Source organism: Homo sapiens, chromosome 18, assembly GCF_000001405.40.
Source record: "Homo sapiens chromosome 18, GRCh38.p14 Primary Assembly".
NCBI lineage: Eukaryota > Metazoa > Chordata > Mammalia > Primates > Hominidae > Homo > Homo sapiens.
The window spans coordinates 42,030,140-42,050,409 of NC_000018.10; the positions used below are offsets into that span (position 1 = coordinate 42,030,140).

The 20,270-nt window shown below is 35.6% G+C and overlaps 1 protein-coding gene across 4 annotated transcripts in view; it reads left to right on the forward strand.

Moving 5' to 3' along the window:
- Nucleotides 1-20,270, forward strand: part of PIK3C3 (phosphatidylinositol 3-kinase catalytic subunit type 3) — a 132,597-nt gene that overhangs the window by 74,906 nt on the left and 37,421 nt on the right. For all 4 annotated transcript variants that reach the window (NM_002647.4, NM_001308020.2, XM_047437549.1 and 1 more), the window contains 6 exons: nucleotides 3,687-3,818; nucleotides 7,553-7,681; nucleotides 8,642-8,711; nucleotides 10,538-10,602; nucleotides 13,594-13,678; nucleotides 19,392-19,466. In NM_002647.4, coding sequence (NP_002638.2) covers nucleotides 3,687-3,818; nucleotides 7,553-7,681; nucleotides 8,642-8,711; nucleotides 10,538-10,602; nucleotides 13,594-13,678; nucleotides 19,392-19,466 — 556 coding nt within the window. The remainder of the gene's footprint in view (nucleotides 1-3,686; nucleotides 3,819-7,552; nucleotides 7,682-8,641; nucleotides 8,712-10,537; nucleotides 10,603-13,593; nucleotides 13,679-19,391; nucleotides 19,467-20,270) is intronic.

A 20,270-nucleotide genomic window follows, 5' to 3' on the forward strand; every position in this document is an offset into this window, starting at 1 on the left:
ATGGAAAGAATCTCTAGAGATCATTTAGACTAGAATTCTTCTGAGAAAACAAAAGTCCAGATTGACTTGCCCAAGGTTTCACAACTGGTTGTTAGTAAGTAGCTTTGTAACTGTTCTCTCCTGGCTAGTTCATCAGTCTGTCTCTCAACTATGAGGTTTCCACTTGATGGGTAGAAGTGAATGAGTAGATGAGTTCTTCACGTGACATTTTTTCTGATCAGTAGCCTAAATGATATGAAAGATTCGCTTGGTATCTTTTCCTAATTCCATTAGATAATTGGCAGGCCTTTCTTGGTGACCTTTGTAAAACAACACATTTTAGTGTTCCTTTGACTTTTAAAGGACAGCAGAAAGAGGAGGAAAATATGAAGATTTGAGTCAGTGGTTCAAAAGCAAAGAATCAGGTCTAAAGAGAAATGCTAGCAGAGCCATGCAGAAGAAGTAATGAGTAACGTTCAGCAGGTTAGAGAGGGGAAAACAGGCTGAGAGGAAACACGGTTCTGTTGAGTTGACATTTTCTTTGTTGTTGAGAAGAATCACAAACCTTGGTCAAATAAATATATTTCTACTACTGTTCCCCCTGTAGCACCTCTCCCCAGAGGTGGCTGTGTGGGAAACAGTGTGATTCCCAGATGCCCACCAGCAGAGGGAGTGTCTGCTGCTCTGACCTGCAGTTTGGGGCTTATATTTGAAAGCAGTTTGTTTTAGTGCCAGGAGCTCTTCAATTTAGCAGGCACAGGAACCTTGGCAACACCTCAGTTTTAGCTCTTCTGGAGGCTGACCACCTATTTGAGACATCACTCAGAGTCTCCCCAAATAAATTTTGTGTTTCTCACATAGCCTATATTTTAAGCCAGACCATCCCAAGTATAGTTTCAGTATTGGCTAAAAATCTTTATAGGCATTTTATCATGATATGGTAAAAGACAAACAATTTTATTTACATATATTTACTAGAAACAAGCCCTGGCACCATGAAGAAATGCAGAGATAGCGCTCTACTACCATTATTGGCATTAATACTAGTAATATTGAAATGGCCACTAATCATATAAAATCATATGTAGCACTTTTTCATCCCTCATAATTTATTTGCGAGAGCTATATCACAGTGGGTATAACAGTGTTAGATCTGTGGCAGAGTAATCCCTGAGTTAAGTGTCAAATGAGTAAAGAAGATGATAATGTTGTCTTCTTTCCTTCGTTGATCTCTAGTTTAGGAAAAATTATGTTAGAAGAGGTCAGTCTACATATTTGAATTCTAATAAAATGCCTTTTTCATCTACTTTTTTTTTGAGACATAGTCTTGCTCCGTCGTCCAGGCTGCAGTACCATGGTACTGTGGCATGATCTCAGCTCACTGCAGCTTCTGCCTCCCGTCTTCAAGCAATTAACCTGCCTCAGCCTCCCAGGCAGCTGGGACTGCAGGCGTGCACCACCACGCCTGGCTAATTTTTAGTAAAGATGGGGGGGTTTCACTCTGTTGGCCAGGCTGATCTCAAACTGACCTCAAGTGATCTGCCAGCCTCGGCCTTCCAAAGTGCTGGGATTACAGGCATGAGCCACTGTGCCTGGCCATCTTTTCCATCTATATTTAAAATAAATTAACACTTTCACTGTTAATATTATAAGCAGTCTCTTTTCACTTTATGATTTTTTAGGGGATATTACTCATTTATGTGTTCTACAAATACGAAATATGTATTGCATGCCTACTCTGTGCAGAGTGCTTTTCTAGGTTCTTGGGATACAGCAGTGAATATAAAAATCTCTTCCTCTATGGGGATCATATTCTCGTTGAAGAGAGTAAATGCAATAAATAAATAAAATGTATATAGTGTGCTAGATAGTGTTATATGTTATGGAGAAAAATAAAACAGGAAGGGGGATTAGGCAGTACTTGTGTCCAGTAGTAAGGCAGTGTTTCACTTCTTAATAGAGTGGCCAGGTAAGGCCTCACTGAGAAATTGACATTTGAACAAAGGCCTGAAGCATGTAAGAGAGCAAGCCGGTCTTCTGGAGAAGATTGTTCCAGCCAGAGGAATAGCAGTGCACAGCCCCGGAGGTGGGAGCATGTGTGGCAGTTGTGAGAAATAGGAAGAAGCCCAGTGTATTTGGAGCAGAGGGAATGGGTACAGTAATAGGAGATGAAGTTAGAGATAATTGGGAAATGGATGGAATTTATCCTTGTAAATCATTATAGTCAATATTATTTTGACTGAAACACTGAGTAAGAGTAGAAGCTATTGGAGATTTTGAATAGCAGGGTAACATGAACTGACTTTGATTTTAGCAGCTGCACTCTGGTTACTTTTGATAAGAAACTGTAGGAGGGTGAAAAGTTTGAAGAAGAGAAGCAATCAGGAGGCTATTGCAGTAATCAAGATGAGAAATCATGGTGGCTGGGTTCTTAGGGCTTATAGTGGTAGAGGTGGTAAGAAGTGGCTAGATTTCTCTCCCCATTCTTATTTTACTTTCTGGTTATTTTATTTATTTATTTATTTATTTATTTATTTATTTATTTATTTTAATTAGCGCATCAACTAGTAATTTGTTAAGGTAGGATAACTTTACTCTCAAATTAGTTGACATTACTTCACATTAGTAGATCTGACCATCCATTTAGTTAAGGAGTAGATTTAGTGATTTTTGTAACACTTATGTAGAAATTCATACCAGTTGATTTTCAGTTGATTTTAACTTGAACTTTTCATCATTCAGGAGGAGATGGGATTATTACTGAAGGAAAATAATTTTACATCTTCTTTGTCCTTGAAACATACTATTTTTTTCTGAACTTCTTTCACTGATTCCAGAGTTCTCTCCTTTGAGGCTTACCCAGCAGCACAAAGCACTTCAACTTCCCAGTAGCATTGTAGTTGAAGTGTTTTATGCTGCTGGGATTGTCATGTCGAGTTTTCCTTCTTAAAGAACAAACTCACCTATTTAGGTGAGCAAGCCCTGCTCCTAAAGATTGCAGGACTCTCCCAGCTTTTAAAGGAAATTAATTGTTCTTTTGAAATTGAATAGAAGGGGTTCTTCTAAATAGTATAGATGTTGCTTATTGATGAAGCTGTTTCATCATGACTTGGATTTCTCAGTTTCTGGAATGTTAGCTTAATGCATTATGTATATGAGCTGAAGAAAATGAATGATGATGATATCCTAGGAAAAGTTTGACCATACAGACTCAGTGAAAGTTAGAAAGTAGGGTTATAGTTTCTCCAAGTGAATTAAGTTTCCTTTTTAAACTCAAAAAATGCACTGGGGCAGCATAGTGAAATTTTTGCTTAATATTTGGTCATGCAAAATTAAACTTTGAAGGAAATTTCAGTTTCTCTCTGTGGCTTCACAAATCCTTGGAAACAGAAATTGAATCTTTAGGTCCAACTTGAATAAATTCCTGATTCTTTGTCAGCTTTAGCAAGTGAAATGTATTCTGTATCCTTCCTGTGAAAAGTCCAACTTTCACAGTCAAGCGATTGTTTGGTTTAAAGCATGCTGCTGCTGTTGTTAGGGATTATTTATAAGTGCTTGTCTCTCACATACAACACCATCTCCTTTATATTATTTTGGTGCTTTGCAAATACTTTTAAGTTAATGGAATCAATTTTTATGTCTTTACTATATGTTTTATAAACTACTCTTCTATTTTAACCTCATTAATCCTTTCTGATTTGTTCTAGAATGAGAGACTACAGGCATTGCTTGGAGATAATGAAAAGATGAATTTGTCAGATGTGGAACTTATCCCGTTGCCTTTAGAACCCCAAGTGAAAATTAGAGGAATAATTCCGGAAACAGCTACACTGTTTAAAGTAATTGTGATGGATATTTAATGTGTATGATTGGAACCTAATTCTTAAGCTAGATCAGAGATACTACCTTGGAAAACTATTACATTGCAGAGATCACATCTATAATTCTAGTTGATTTAGTAAATGCTAGATTGAAGGGTACCTTTTATTTATCAGTGTGTTTTGATTTAAGATCTTCTTTTGTTACCGGTACATGGGCATTTTTATGTAACATGTGAAATACTTTTATATCTCTGGGTTGTTTTTTAATATTTAATTTTTTTATTGTTTTATTTTTGTAGAGATGGGTCCTCACTTTGTTATCCAGGCTGGTCTCATACTCCTGGCTTCAAGCAGTCTTCCCACCTCAGCCTCCCAAAGTGTTGGGATTACAGGCATGCGCCACCATACCCAACATAATATTTAGTTTTTCAAGCTAATTGTTAATCAGAGCTGTAACTATTTTTCTTTATGTAAATTTTTTTAGAGGGCAGATTGCAAACGTATCATGCATTCATTCAGTTCATTAGTTCAGATGGTTAGATATGAGTCCCAGTTGACCTTTTTAACATTTCTCAGTCTGATATCTGTTCCTGTTGAACCTTAAGTGTTTTCTTATATTTTCACGTGGCAATTCTCTTTAGTCCTTAGTAGCATACCAGGCTTGGTGTTTTTTCTATTGACTGGCCACCAGTTCAGGTAGAAACAGCTGATGCAGCAGCCTTCTCTAATCATGCTCAAAGGACCAAAGGCCAGAGCATCATTATCTGTCAGCATCATACTGAAAGATCTTTGTGAGACATGGTGCTTTATGTTTTGTGATTCTAGTGGTAGAAAGGCATAGTTGCATTGAATATTACTTTGCATGAGTTAAGAAAGGGCTCATAGAACAACAACTAATGTATATACACGGGTGTAATTATAGTAGGAAACAGTTCATATTTTTTAAAAAAGTGTGTTTCAAGGCAACCTCATATTTGGTCATGGGTTGCAGCCCAGCTCATATGACTAAAACATAAGTTTCATAAAGCAATCCCTAACTTTAACTGGGTGTTATGGATGGATAGTTACCATTATTTTTAACATTATTCTGTTGCTTTAATTTTTAAATGTTGCTTACAACCTATTGGTTTTAAAACTCTCTAACAGATTACAACCTGCAAGTTAAAAATACTGGTATTACTATATGCAATTTGAAAATACTGGTATAGGAGATACAGTGCAATTTTTTTTTTAGTCTGTGCTTGCAGTCTACTGGAGACTGAAATGTAAAAAGCTATGCACAAGGTAATATACATATAACAACTGGCATTCCTTTGGGCTAGAACTCCCAAAGAAGACCAGCTTCTAATATTCTTGAACACTAAGGACTCATCAAGAGCAGTGAATTAAAAAAGTAATTTTACCATTTTTTTTCCAACCATGGTGCAAAAGAGTATCTAAGACATACAGCAGGGGTTTTAAGAGTGGACTATAAGAAGATATATCTCCCTCTATTGGTAGGTGGATTCTAGACTCATACTCAATTATAAAAAATTATAATTATGTCTTATGAAATAAAATATGGGAAATCTTTTTGACCTCAGTATTCAGTCTTGATTATTTTTCTTTCAACTCTTAAGTATATGGGCATTCTTAAAAATTTTGAGTTAGAGTTTAGGAATAATGGTTCTGAGGCAGTTGCTACGTAATATTAGTTATATAGAGTGTCTCTGTGTAGGGAGTTGCTACTTTGGCTCATGGATGTCTTTGAGAATCTGATGAAAGTGATGGATTATGCACTTCAGAAAATTGCCCGTATGCTTACACATACACTGAAATTTCTGCATACACTTGCAGAGGATCTGTGGACTCCTGTTTTCCTTGTATGAGCTCCTTAGAGCTGAAAAGGCTAGGGACCCTTATTTCTAGTAGTTTTAAAAGTAATTTTGTAGACCTTAATGTAACAGCCAAAGCTGGATATTCATGAAGACTGGACCCCTTAAGGCACTGGGATAAGTGCATGTTATCCTGTGGTTGTTTTCTTGCTTTAAATTTCAGATGAAATCTAAATTAGATGAAATCGTATTGAATCTCAAAAAAGAAATCACAACAAAGATTCTCCTGCCTGTCATTTATCTTTAGGAAGATAACTTCCAATTACTAGGGCTCAAGGTAATTTATAAAATAACATTTTCAAATAAAAGGATATTCCAAATTTAAGGTAATTTAAAATTCAGAATTTTATTCCAACTAGAGTTTGTAAGTTTTAAACATACATTCTCTGAACCATTTTCCATGTTTTTGTTTTCCCCCAGCATTTTATAGGAAAGTTTTCAAGCATACAGCAAAGTTGAAGGAGTTTTACAGTAGACAACCGTGTATCTACCACTTTAATTCTGTCATCAACATTTTGCCATTTGTTTTGTCACATCTGTTCATCCATCTATATGATGTTTTTTGGGCCATTATTTCTCTTGGTTATTACCATTTTTTTTGTTTTTGTTTTTAAATTTCTTTGACTCATTTTTTTTTCTTTGGATTAATATATTTCTCCAAATTTTTGTCTTATATAATTTCTTCTCAATGACCAAACTCAATAGGGTCTCTCTCTCTCAGAACAATTTTCTGACCATTTATGTCCAGAATATCCATCTTAGCATGCCACTTTATGTGAGGTTTTATGATTCCCCCTTTCTAAAAAGAATATAATTTCTTTATTTTTTTTTTGTTGATTTAAACATATACCTAAACTAATTTAGACCTTCATATAATTAAGGGAAGGACTGTGGGGAAAACATAATATTATTCCAGAATAAAAGATACAGATATTTGAGATCTCCTCTCATTTTATAAATGAGGAATTTGAGTCTTAAAGCTGCACAACTAGTACAGATTGAGCATCTCTAATCCAAAAATCCAAAATCTAAAATGCTCCAAAATCTGAAACTTTTTGAGTGCTGACATGATGCCGCAAGTGGAAAATCCTCCAGCTGACTTTATGTCATGCATTACAGTCAAAACACGGTCAGAACTTTGTTTCATGCACAAAATTACTAAAAATATTGTGTAAAATTACTTTCAGTTTATGTGTGTAGGGTATATGTGAAACATAATTGAATTTCAAGTTTAAACTTGGGTCACAGCCCTAAAATATTTTATTATGTATATGCAAATATTCCAAAATCCGGGGAAGTCCAAAATCCCAAACATTTGCAAGCATTTCTGTTATGGGATACTCAACCTGTAGTATACTTGCCATTAAAAACCAGGGCTCTTCACTTTGCATCTGGTACATTGTTATGTTGTACTGTTTCACCTTATTTATTTCAGTATACCTCTAAAAATAAAAAATGATGATAGATATATAAAGAATGTCTTCTTTGTATTAGGCATGGTGCCAGACTATTGACCTGTATAGTTTCTGATTGCCTTAGCAACTCTGCAGAAGAGATGGTATCTTATTTTACAGATGAGGAAACAAGTTAAAGGATATGCATAAGACTGTCCAGCGAGTACCTGGGAGAGCTTGGAATGTTTTAACCACATGACTGATTGCAGAGCTTGTGCGCTTTCCATCGTGTAGTCTTCTGACTACTAGCTAGTTCACTGTTCTTTCCAGTATACCCTAATGTATCTCATTGAAAACCCAACTTGTTTTTTAGGTCCTATTTACCTGTGTATTTATCTTATATATCAACATTTTCTTGTATGTATAGTACAATTTTATGCATTAATTCATGGCCAAATTTGAAATCAATATTTTTATTTTCCAGAGTGCCCTTATGCCTGCACAGTTGTTTTTTAAGACGGAAGATGGAGGCAAATATCCAGTTATATTTAAGCATGGAGATGATTTACGTCAAGATCAACTTATTCTTCAAATCATTTCACTCATGGACAAGGTGAACATGACCTTATGTTGGTGGGGAACATTTTTTTCGTTTTGGAATACTGTGGCTTAGTTCATTTGCTGTTTATGGAACAGAAGTATTTGTAACATTCAGGTACGATCCTAGAAAGCTCAACAGTCTCCACTTGACCTTGAAAAAATTTAGTTGCTTTTATATACTTCAGAATGGTTTTTGTGTTGAGTATAAATTGGAACTGTATGTGTTCCATTAATTTTTTTTCCAAATTAAGTTCTCTAAATAAGGGATTTAGTAGTTTCCTTCCTCTTAGTCTATTAAATTTTTTTTAAATCCTTTTAATCCCATCTCTGTCCCTGGCATTAAAAAGTACATGCTTGCCCTAGTTCCCTTTTTCTGAGCTCTAAAGTACTTTATGGCCAGAAAGGACTGCATGAAGTGATAGCAACAACCCTATTGTTCATTGAAAACAGCTGACAGAGATTTAGAGTAGATGAAAAATTTAGCATACCGTCATCTAAGTCCTTAATCAATTTAATTTTGATGATCAAAGTTAAATTAACTATTTTTTTTTTTGAGATGGAGTTTTGCTTTTTGCACAGGCTAAAATGAAGTGGCGCGATCTTGGCTCACTGCAACCTCTGCCCCCTGGGTTCAAGCAATTCTCCTGCCTCAGCCTCCCGAGTAGTTGGGACTACAGGCATGCACCACCACGCCCAGCTAATTTTTTGTATTTTTTAGTAGAGACAGGGTTTCACCATGTTGACCAGGCTGATCTTGAACTCCTGACCTCAGGTGATCCACCCGCCTCGGCCTCCCAAAGTGCTGGGATTACAGTGGGGAACCACTGTGCCCAGCCTAAGTTAACTAATTTAAACTTAATTTAGCTTAACTTCCTAAATCTTTATTACATTAAACTGCTATACTATTTGCCCACAAAACTGTCTTTTAACAGTCTTTACATTTGGTTAATATATTTTACCTTTTGATTAAAAGCTGTTACGGAAAGAAAATCTGGACTTGAAATTGACACCTTATAAGGTGTTAGCCACCAGTACAAAACATGGTAAGTGTATTTTACATCATTATTATTTACTTTAGTGTACATTGTGTGTACTTTTTCAAATTGAAAATTTTTAAGTATGTTAGAGATACAAATAAATTCCATTTGTAGCACTGAAGACAAGTTGGACCTTCCTGCCTGCTTCCCTTCTGTCTTTCCTTCTTTCCTGTTTCTCAGTAACTACTGATTAATGTAACTACTGGTTAATGTAGTTACTGAGAAACAGGATATTTCAGACATTCCTGACAATCCTGTAGACACACATACACATACACACACACCCTCACACACACAAACCATTTAAGTCTTTTCGAGATGAATAATCCCTGGGAGTTTGGTAGAAGATTCCCTAGGAATGCTTGCCTAATGCTTACTGTAAATTCCATAGTCTTGCTGCCCTTCCTGCTTTATACTAGTAGTTACTGAGAAACAAAATACATGCTTTAGGTTCCTATCCTTCCTCTGGCTACTCCCAAATCTTTTTGATGCCTTAATTACTCTTCTCAGTTTCTTCTCAGAATGATATTTTAAAAAGTGCAAATGTGCATCTTTACAATCCTGCAAAAAGTCATTTGTTAGCTTTCATTTTCTCTTTGGACAAAGACCCAAAAAACCTTTACCTAGCTTCTAAGTGCTTGCATAGTGTGACACACCCTGTGTCTATCTTTCAAGCCTCTTCTTTTTGCCACTCTTCCCCTGCATCCTGGGCTTTAGCCATACTGGCTACCTTCTGTTTTATCTAATGCATTGTGCTCTAAGGCCTTCACATACACTGTGATCATTGTCTCAAACATTCTTTGCTCCATGGCCTATTAATTTTATTATCCTTGAAAACATGGCTCAAATGTCAGATGTCCTTCGATCCCTACTGTAAGTTAGGTCTCCTTACACTACTTCCTTTCATAGTACCCTTTATTCATAGTATTTACCCAAGTGAAGCTTATAAGCTTTAAGATCCATGTAGGCAGTGTCAAACATCTATTTTTACTTACTTGGCAAATTTCTTCCGACATGGTCAAGAAACAATAAATACCTGTTAAGTGAATTAGTGCCAACTATTCTGTATTTATGATGCAAGAATAAATGAGATATTTCTTATTCTACAGGGGTATATAATCTCCTAATGTGCATGCAAATTATTATCCTATAGGCTTACCAGAACCAGATCATGATAGTTTATGATCCTGAAATGTTGTTTGCTTCATCCAACTTTTTTTTTTAATATATCCATTGTTTTATGTTTCTGTTGTCTTCAGACTTATCAGACTGACTTTTTCTCCTTCTTCCACATACTGTCTGTCCCCTTTCCTTTTTTTTTTTTTTTTTTTGGTAGTTTAAGGGATTTACACATCTGTTATTACCAGGAAATGACAGAAGATGGAATATTAGACAAAAGGAGCCATTACATAACAGTTTTACATACAGCTTTTAGGGTTAGGTAATTGTAATCCACAATTCTAGATTTCTTACGGTGATTTTAAATTTGGAATATTTTAATTGGTATATGTTGTAAATCTATAGAAAGAAGAAATTTTTGATGCTAGATTTAAGAAGCTTAGTCTATTAGTTTTCGTTTCTCATATTTTATAATAGAAATTAGCCTAGAGAAACATACAGACTAAATCAGCTTAATTTAAAAAAAAAAAGTTTTCTTACAGGTCCTATGACATAAATGCCAGTACAAACTTAATGTAGTGTACACTGATCTTTTTAAGTTGTTCAGATATGGAATGCATTTATTCAGAGATGAGGATTATTCTTAGCAGAACCTTTATTTTTATTTCTTAACCAGTAGCTATGCTTAATGCAGTGCATACATTTCTGTGTAGGCTTCATGCAGTTTATCCAGTCAGTTCCTGTGGCTGAAGTTCTTGATACAGAGGGAAGCATTCAGGTATGGTATCAATAAAGATTATGCAATTCATGAATATATTCTTGTCATAAAAAATTCAGTCTTTATAACATAGAGTTAAAAATGAAAGTCTCCTTTTATCATTTTTCTTTCTTCAAGTTTTTTTTCTTCCTTTATTCAGAAGTAAGCATGTTCGCAGTTGAAGATTCTTCCATTTGTTACATAGATTCTCAGTTCCTTGAACAGTGCATTGCATATCAAGGGATCAGGCATTAATTGGTGAACACAGCCTGGCCAACATGGTGAAACCTGTCTCTGCTAAACTCACAAAAATCAGCCGGGCATGGTGGCATGCACCTGTAGTCCCAGCTACTTGGGAGGCTGAGCCAGGAGAATCGCTTGAACCCGCGAGGTGGAGACTGCAGTGAGCTGAGATCACATCATTGCACTCCGGCCTGGGTGACAGAGCAAGATTCTGTGTCAAAAAAAAACAAAAAAAACCCCAAAAAAACAGAGTTAATTGGTGAACAAATTAAAATTTGTTAACGTTTATTTATACTTGCATTATATTCCAAAGTATGGAAATGTTGTAATTTATTTGATATTAATTGATGAGCACTTTATTTCCAGTTTTTGTTATTCAGAACACTGCTACAATGATATTGTTGCTCATCTGTCTTTTGTACAATTATTTAAGACCCCCTATCCTCTCCCTTCAACCTATTGCTCCCCTTTAAATATGAGAAAAGGTGAGTGGTTCTGTGACAAAGTAATGTATATGTTTGGATTTTTTTTTTTTTTACCCTTTAAATACATGGATTAGTTCTTATAACATGTTAATGGTTTATTTTTGTTATTTTTAAAATATAATTTTCCTGCTTCCCTTTGTAAAAAAAAAAAAAAAGGTATGTAATTAAAACAAAAATGGATACACCTGAGATGAAAGATAATACACAGAAGGGCTTGGTAGATGATGTTTGATACAGTGTGTTTTTGCCTTTCCCTATTTAATTGTTCCATTTATTCAGTATGGGAGTCAGATTTGTAGAAAAGTATTACTCTGATTCTTTTGCAAAGCAAGTGCTTATTCTGTTCTTTGATTTGGGGTACAGTCATGTGCAGTGGTTAAAAGCTCAGGCTTAGGACATCAAACTGCCTGGGATTGAATTCCACCTGTGTAACTTTCCAGCTCTGTAACCTTGAGTGAACTGGTTAACTCTTTTTGCAGAGAAAAGTTAACATAGTAGCCCTAAGGTTGCAATCTTTGGAAAGGCCTGCTTGCCAGGAGATTGGTCATTGGCTTTCAGCATGTTCCCTTTGCTTCCTAATTGATAAGGGTGGTTCGCTGTGCCTAGATTGTTTGTTCAAATAATATGCTTTATACTAAACAATCCACTTTCCTTCTGGGAGTCTGGAATTTTGTACTTGCTTGACAGAGGTTGCCTGGGTCACCAGTTCCTGATAAAACCTTGGGTTCTAAGTCTCTAATGGGCTTTCCTTGTCAGAAACATTACACCCATGTTACTGCTTTTTATTTTTTATTTTTGGCTATTGGAAAAGAAGCTCACTGTGTCTTCATAGGACAGAGAGGGCTAGGATGCCTATGTATGAATTTCTCCAGATTTTTTCTGTGTATGTTTTCCATGTTGATTCTACTGTGTATCCGTTCTCTGTAACAAACCTTAGTCATGGTACAACTACATGTTTAGTCTGTAAGACCTTCTAGCAAGTCAAACCTGTCAGTGGTCCTGGGGACCCGTTTAACATACCCTTCAAGACACCAGTTTTTGCATCTGTAAAATTTCGGTAATAACCCATATTACTCCAGGATTGTTTTGAAGAGGACCTGAAGTGTACTTAAAGTTTTTAACATGGGCCCTAATTGCCATCATTGTTTCATAAAGTTTTTCATTACTTACATTGTTTTGTGTAATTACGATTTTATAAAATGAAAACAGTGACAGTTTGTATACTGATTCTTGGCTGCACATCTGATCTGTGTAAGTGATTTACCTGGGTCATAGATCACATTCAGCTTTACTTGATAATGAAAAGTTGTTTTTCGATAATTAAAAGTTGTTTTCCAAAACAGTAACACTTCTTGTGTTTCTCCTTGCTACATGTCTGCCAAATCGTAGTGTTGCCAAACTTCAAACTCTTCGTACCTCTTTTTGGTTTGCATTTCCCTGATTATCTGTAAGGTTGAATGTATAAAAATATATGTATAGGCCATTTGTTTCTTCTGTGAAGTGCATGTTCACATCTTCCTGTGGCCCATGTTCCTGTCGCGTTGTTTGTATTTTTTGTATTGATTTATAGGAGTTTTTAAATATATATTCCAGATGCAAATCCTTTGTCAGAAATACAGGGTATTCAAAAAAGGTGAAAACATAGGATAAACTTTTTTTTTTTTTTTGTGAGACGGAGTCTTGCTCTGTCGCCAGGCTGGAGTGCAGTGGTGCGATCTCGGCTCACTGCAACCTGTACCTCCCAGGTTCAAGCAATTCTCCTGCCTCAGCCTCCCGAGCAGCTGGGACTACAGGTGCCTGCCACCACGCTAATTTTTGTATTTTAGTAGAGACTGGGTTTCACCATGTTGACCAGGATGTTCTTGATCTCTTGACCTCATGATCTGCCCACCTCGGCCTCCCAAAGTGCTGGAATTACAGGTGTGAGCCACCACATCTGGCCAGGATAAACTCATTTTTTAATAGTACGTTAATCGTATTTTCAGATAATATGCTCTGTGGTTTTGTTTGTTTGTTTGTTTTTTGTTTTGCCTCTAAATGTAAAAGAATAGGTGCAATTGGAAATCTGGGGTGGGTGGTGGGGGACATTAAACACAGTTTCCCCTAATGGAAACTCTAGTGTATTTATCGCACTCTTACAATTCTTTTGTTCAGTCAGCATCTCTCATACTGTATTTTGATTAAGCTTTATGCTAGACACTTGCTGGTCACTATTTATAGTTTCAAAACACCTAGTTTGTTTGTTTGTACTTAATTCTAAAACATGTAAATAATGTCTTTTCAGAACTTTTTTAGAAAATATGCACCAAGTGAGAATGGGCCAAATGGGATTAGTGCTGAGGTCATGGACACTTACGTTAAAAGCTGTGGTAAGTTTTTCAGGCTATTACTTTCCATTGATCAGATAAAGAAGAGCAGGCCATCCTGATATTGCCATAATCATATACATTTAGAACATGTTAATATTTAAATGCTCTATAGGAAGAGTAAAAGATAAATGTTGATTAAAGTAGTCATTGATGCTTTGACATAATAGTATTAACAAGGTGTAAATTCTATTTAGTCTTTCATGGATATATCTTTGTAATCACTGAACTATTTTATAATCACAGTTTATCTCTTCCTGGAAGCTGTTAATTTTCCATTAGATTTTCTCTATTTTTGAATAACAGAAACTAAGTAGACCATGGGAAAAGTTTCAATCAGAAATGATTGTGCTTTAGATAAAGTTTAAGAGCTAAGATAATGGTGCTTCATTAAGAGGGTGCCCTTGTGGTATTTTAGAGTCAGTCCTTATGGTCCATTCCTAGAAATAAGAAAGCAGTAGTAGTATTTCCTAGAAATAAATAGTAAGTGACATAGGGATTAATTTTTATTCTTCAGGCATTTATGTCTAACTTCACGAAGGTTATATTCTACAGGATTTTTTTTTTCATTTTCTTTATTTTTTTCTTTTCTTTTCTTTTCCTTTTTTCCTGGAGACAGGATCACACTCTGTCACCCGGGCTGGCTGAAGTGCAGTGGCGCAATCACAGCTTACTGCGGCCTGGACCTCCCAGGCTCAGGTGATTCTTCCACCTCAGCCCGCCGAGTACCTGGGACTGTAGGAGGTGTGCACCACCACACTTGGATGATTTTTTTGTATTTTTTGTAGAAACAGGGTTATGGCATGTTTCCCAGGCTGGTCTCAAACTCCTGGGCTCAAACGATCACCACCTGCTTTGGCCTCCCAAAGTGCAAAGATTGAAGGCATGAGCCACCATCCCCAGCATGTTTATTTTTTTATTTTGATTTTTTTTATAACTAGATTGTTTATGGGAGGATTGGTAAAGGAGTTGACACTAGAGTTGAGCCCTGAATGACAGGATGTATGATGTGTTATAACTATTTTATATAAGCGCTATATTTGTTTATGTCCCTATTTATGCCTATGCTTAAGCTGGGAGAGCAAGAAGAGGGCTTTCTAGTTAGTTGTTAAGACTATATTTAAACTTGCATATTATTTTCTGGTTTAGAAGTTGCTTTCTTATACATAATATTTTTGTGTTTTTCACAACACCCCTGTGAAGTCACCTTCCAAATTATTTTGGACCTTATTTTCAAATTTATTCGTGATGATACATTTTTGTCTGAAAAGCAGAAAGAAAATGAACTTTGAGAATATGGAAATAAAATTGTGTTTTATAAATTAGAGTCCTTTATAGTTTTAATTCTTGTTTTTACTATAGGAATATAAACATATATTACATGTAACTGAATTTGTTTGTAAACGTGATTACATGCAGTATTTAAAGACTTAAAAACACTGAAGATTTTGAGAGAAAATGTTTACCCTTGTCCTCTTACTCTGTGTTTCTCTCTCTTCCCTTGCTCCTTTCTTGTTTCTCTTCTTTATTTTGCCCCATTTCTCTTCTGTTTTTCTCAGACCTTCAAGTCTATGTTTTCTGTGATCTGAAAAAAAATTGCATATCATCTAAAGGCTCAACTAGGCTGAACATCCAAGATGGATCACTCACATTATTGGCAGATTATACTGTCTTAGCTAGGCTTATTGTGAATCACCTACACATGACCTGTCCCTGGCTTGGGCCTCTTAGAGCTGGGTTCCAAGAGCAAATATTCAGACAGACAGGAAATGGAAAATACTAGTTTCTGAAGGCCAGGGCTGGGAAGCTGGTACTATATCAGCTTATAGTATAACTATATTTTGTTATATTCTGTTGTTCAGAGCAGTCCTAGAGCCTTCCTGGATTTGAGGGGACGGAATATATATAGATCCAAGCTCTGGATGAAAAGGGTGTCACAGAATTTGTGGCCATTTCCATTAGTACGTTATTACATGAGGTGTTTTATATACCCCCAAATAATTATCTTTTACCTTTTTACTATAGCATAGTTATTGTAAACCTTTTAAAGTCATAAATCTGTTTAATAAAGAAATACTTTTTCCACACAAAATACATACACACACGCTTGCCCTGTCAGTATTGACTACAATTTGAAAATTCTGCTCATTAGTAAAATTATCAGAATGGTATGTTACAGGTACATGCTTAATGTCGTACCATTGTGTCTTTTGTATAGTGGTCCATTTTCCCCCCAAGAGCTACTGAAAATATGACTGGCTTTTTCATGGGGAAAGAATAGCAATTTAAATTATCTTACCTATTGGACAGTTAAATTCACATTATATCTTATCTCTCCCCTTTTTTCCAACATTTCACATGTATTCATTCCTCTGTAAGTGATTTAATGGTAGGCCTTCTCTTCATCTAGAAGAGCCTTCTGTTTTCTGTATGGCTTCCTGTATGACAAAATAATCTGTTTTTGTGTAACTTTCATTTTAGAAAATAATGTTTTAATGTTTTTGCAGGGTGTAAGAAAAAAATTGATAATAGTTTTGGTGACATCTTTTCCAGATTATCTAAAGTCTCAAGTGTATATCATGCAGCTAAATGTGGGAATACTGTTTATTCTCACATACACACATATCTTTACTAAGTAAAGGGAAATAGGATCAGTGGTCTATTTGTCTTTATATTTTTCTTTAAGTCAAAGTTTTTTTATAAAAACAATTTCAAGATGTTTTGTATCTCACATGGAATAAAAAAACTAACAACATTGTTTTGACAAGATTTTCTTGGACAGAAATAGTGTTTCCATTGTTGTATAGTTAAAGAATAACATCAATTTCCCTAAAAATTTTCTAGCAAATTTATTTCAGGTCATCTTAAATCATTCTGAGTATTAGTTATCTCCTCAACGTTTCTGAGGATCATCCCATTCTTACCTCAAATGTTTTGTTGTTATTTTTCAGGATGTAGCCTTGTTTAAAGTGCCCTACTGAGTATTGACACTTTAAACTATTGAAGCACTCTAAATTTTCATCTTTACTATTAAATATGGCCATATGTTGATACATATATTTCACTTGACTAAACATGTTTATCAGAATGACCATCCAACGTATTTATGACCATAATCCACTGAGCCAGGGCAAAAGACCCTTACTTATTTTTGCATTTCCATATAACAATGAAATGCACTCTCAAATTTGATGATGAGTAGTTTATAGAAATATTTTGCTTTATCGTTAGGATTAAGCATAATTCATGTATATCCAGTTACATGAAAATTTTAGGTCAGAATTAACTGTTGCAACACAGGTGAATCAGTATTCTATAGAGATAGCTAAACTTGAAACAAAGTAAATAGTGACAAAAACTAACTGTAATTTATAATTTAAAAATGGGAATAGTAAGTAGGTCTGGATTGAACAACTCAGCTGCACTGATGTACAGTGATGTTATTTTTCAAAATTGTAGGAATTTCGCTTGTCTTCATATGCACATTATCGGTAGTTTAGTACCCTTGAGTGGCAGGTAGATTTCTACGAATCACATGTTAGAGAACCTAAGTGTACTAAGTTCTCATATGTTCTCAGGGTATTGTACTTAGTTTCTCTTTAGGAATATCAAATTTAATATCCCTCAGTAAGTCACTTAGTTATTTTTCAATGGGGAGTCTGTAGTCATTTTTGAAATTGCATGTATTGTGGCAGTTTTAGAGCAGTGCTACTTAAAGTGTGATCTGTGGACCCACAGTATTGACTTTACCTGGGAGCTTGTTTGTATTACAGAATCTTGGGCCTTACCCGACTTCTGTGATCAGAATCTTCATTCTAACAGGATTTTCAGGTGATTCTTATGTTCATCAATACACTAGAGTTTAGAGAAGGCTTCTCAACCTTTGGTGTGCATAGTAATTTTTGAAAGCTTGTTAAAATGGAATTGTGGCTGCTGCCCCTAAAAATTCTGATTCAGTAGGACTGAAGTAAGGCTGAAGAGTTTACATATTTAATAAGCTTTCAAGTGATAGTGATACTGCCAGTCTGTGGGATCACATTTTGTGTAGCAATGCTCTAGATCAAGGGTGAGTAAGACTTTTCTCTAAAGCTTTGCAGATAGTAAATATTTTAGGCTTTTCAAGTCAGATGATCTGTGTAACCATTCAACCCTGCCATTGTAATGCTTAAACCAGTGTGTAAATGAATGAGTATGACTGTGTTCAAATAAACTTTACAAAAACTGAGGGGAACCAGATTTGACCATCAGGCTGTAGTTTATTCTCCCTTCATCTAGATACCCTTTAAGTCCTCCTCAGTGGACCACTAAATGTTATCATTGCATTTAGCTGCAGTTAACATAATGTACCTATAGTGATTTAATCATAAGAGTTTATTTTCTCTTTTGTGACAAAACTAGTTATAAGAAATTGCTGTTGTTCTAACTATTTAAGGTGATTAGGACCAGGTGAAGGCTCTGTGTTTCTCTGTGATTCTCTTGCCCTTTTCCTTATGGTCTGCAACTACAGTCATCATGTCGCAATCTAGACAGGAAGGAGAAAAGGCCTAAAGGGCTAACCTCCTAGCTGAGTCAGCCGCTTGCTTAAAACTGCTTTCCTTGCATCTATATTTGCTTACATTTCATTGGACACAAATCCCAGCCCAGTGACTTTGAACAATACTATTAATTCTTGGAGCCTGAAGTTTTTCATTTGAAGGATGGTTATCTACTTAACTGGCATCATTAAACAGGTTAGAAATGATGAATATGATATGCCTAGCTAAGAGCCTAGTCTTCAGTACATTGTAACTGTGATTATTATTAATTAATACTATTTTTCCAATAATTATGCCATTGCTTAAGTTGCTTTTGGACTTCTGGAATGGCCTTCAGAACCTAAGTCAAATGAACTTTATTATTTATTGAATTTGAACAGGGTTATAAGTTCATTAACAGGTGGTCCCATCTTGTTTTTACACATGGGCTGAAATAAACAGGTTTTTGTAAATATTGCTATAGTTTTATATGTTTACAAGTTGTGTTTGTTGTCAGGTTATTAATGGTAGAAATAAACATAGTTAAAAAAACAAACTCCAAAAGGGTGCTATTTGCTAAATTCTGTTTAAGTAGTTTCAATAAATGCTAAATTTCCAGACTTTTTTTAGAATAAAAAGATAACAGAATACAGCTAGAGCCAATGTCTTTGCCTTTAGCCTTGATCATGTAATTTTTCTTAATGCTTTAGAAGATTATTGTGTTAACTTCATAAATGTCTTTACCACTCAAATGAATGCATTTGGTTTTCTATCTGCTTCCATTTCAAGATTATTTTTCCACAGACTTAAAAAACAATTTAACCCTGCATTTACTTATGTTATCTTACAGATAACATGGTTACGAGTTATGGGATAATTGACGGTTGACTTTTAACTGTGTCCAATTTGATATTAGAATTGCTAGGCCCATGTTATAATTTAAGGTCTCCTGAACCTAACTTAAGTTTTGATGCAAGTGACTTTTGTAATTTAACAGAATTCTACAAGATTTTCTCTTTTAAATAGTACTTTGAGTTTCAAGTGACAGACATGAAGATTGCATATTTGAGAATTCAGATGAGAAACCAGAGACATTAGAAAACAAATTGATATTAAAGTTGCACAAACTGCTTTTATATTCAGTAGAATGTATAACCTGGTTTGCATTTGTTTTCACATATTTTTTTTAACTGTTACTGCAGCTGGATATTGCGTGATCACCTATATACTTGGAGTTGGAGACAGGCACCTGGATAACCTTTTGCTAACAAAAACAGGTAACAATTAATGACTACCAGTAGACATACATTGTATATGCCCATGGTTTTTACCCCTGAATCTATGTACTAACAAGATAAGTTGCGGCCTGGCGCGGTGGCTCACGCCCGTAATCCCAGCACTTTGGGAGGCCAAGGCGGGTGGATCACCTGAGGTTGGGAGTTCGAGACCAGCCTGACCAACATGGAGAAACCCCGTCTCTACTAAACACACAAAATTTGCCGGGCGTGGTGGTACATGCCTGTAATCCCAACTACTCAGGAGGCTGAGGCAGGAGAATCGCTTGAACCCGGGAGGCGGAGGTTGCAGTGAGCCGAGATTGCACCATTGCACTGCAGACTAGGCAACAAGATCAAAACGCCATCTTAGAAAAAAAAAAAAAAAAAGATGAGTTGCGTAATTGAAGATAAATCAGAGAGTCTTAAAAATTCCTTTAAATGTTACCTTGGAAGAACATTTAGGGAAAGTCCTTTCCCTTTTAAGAATTGCTTTAGTAGTAATCCTACAGATGGTCATTTTGCCCACACTTCTGTACTGGAAAATGCCTCTTTTTATGGAAAGCCAATAATGGATACAAGTAGCTTAGTCTCTTACTGTATAGCTCTAGTTAGATTGTTAAAATGTCCTTTCTCTTACAAAGTGTGCTTAATTCACTTTAATATCTACCTTTAATTATTTGCTTTTCCCCTTGGAGTTCTATGGGATAATCATTCTCAGTCCCCTTTGTCCTGACAACTCTTTAGCCCTATGTATTTATCTTTATGCAGACAGCTTCCAGACTTACAGCTTTTTACCTCAGTCCA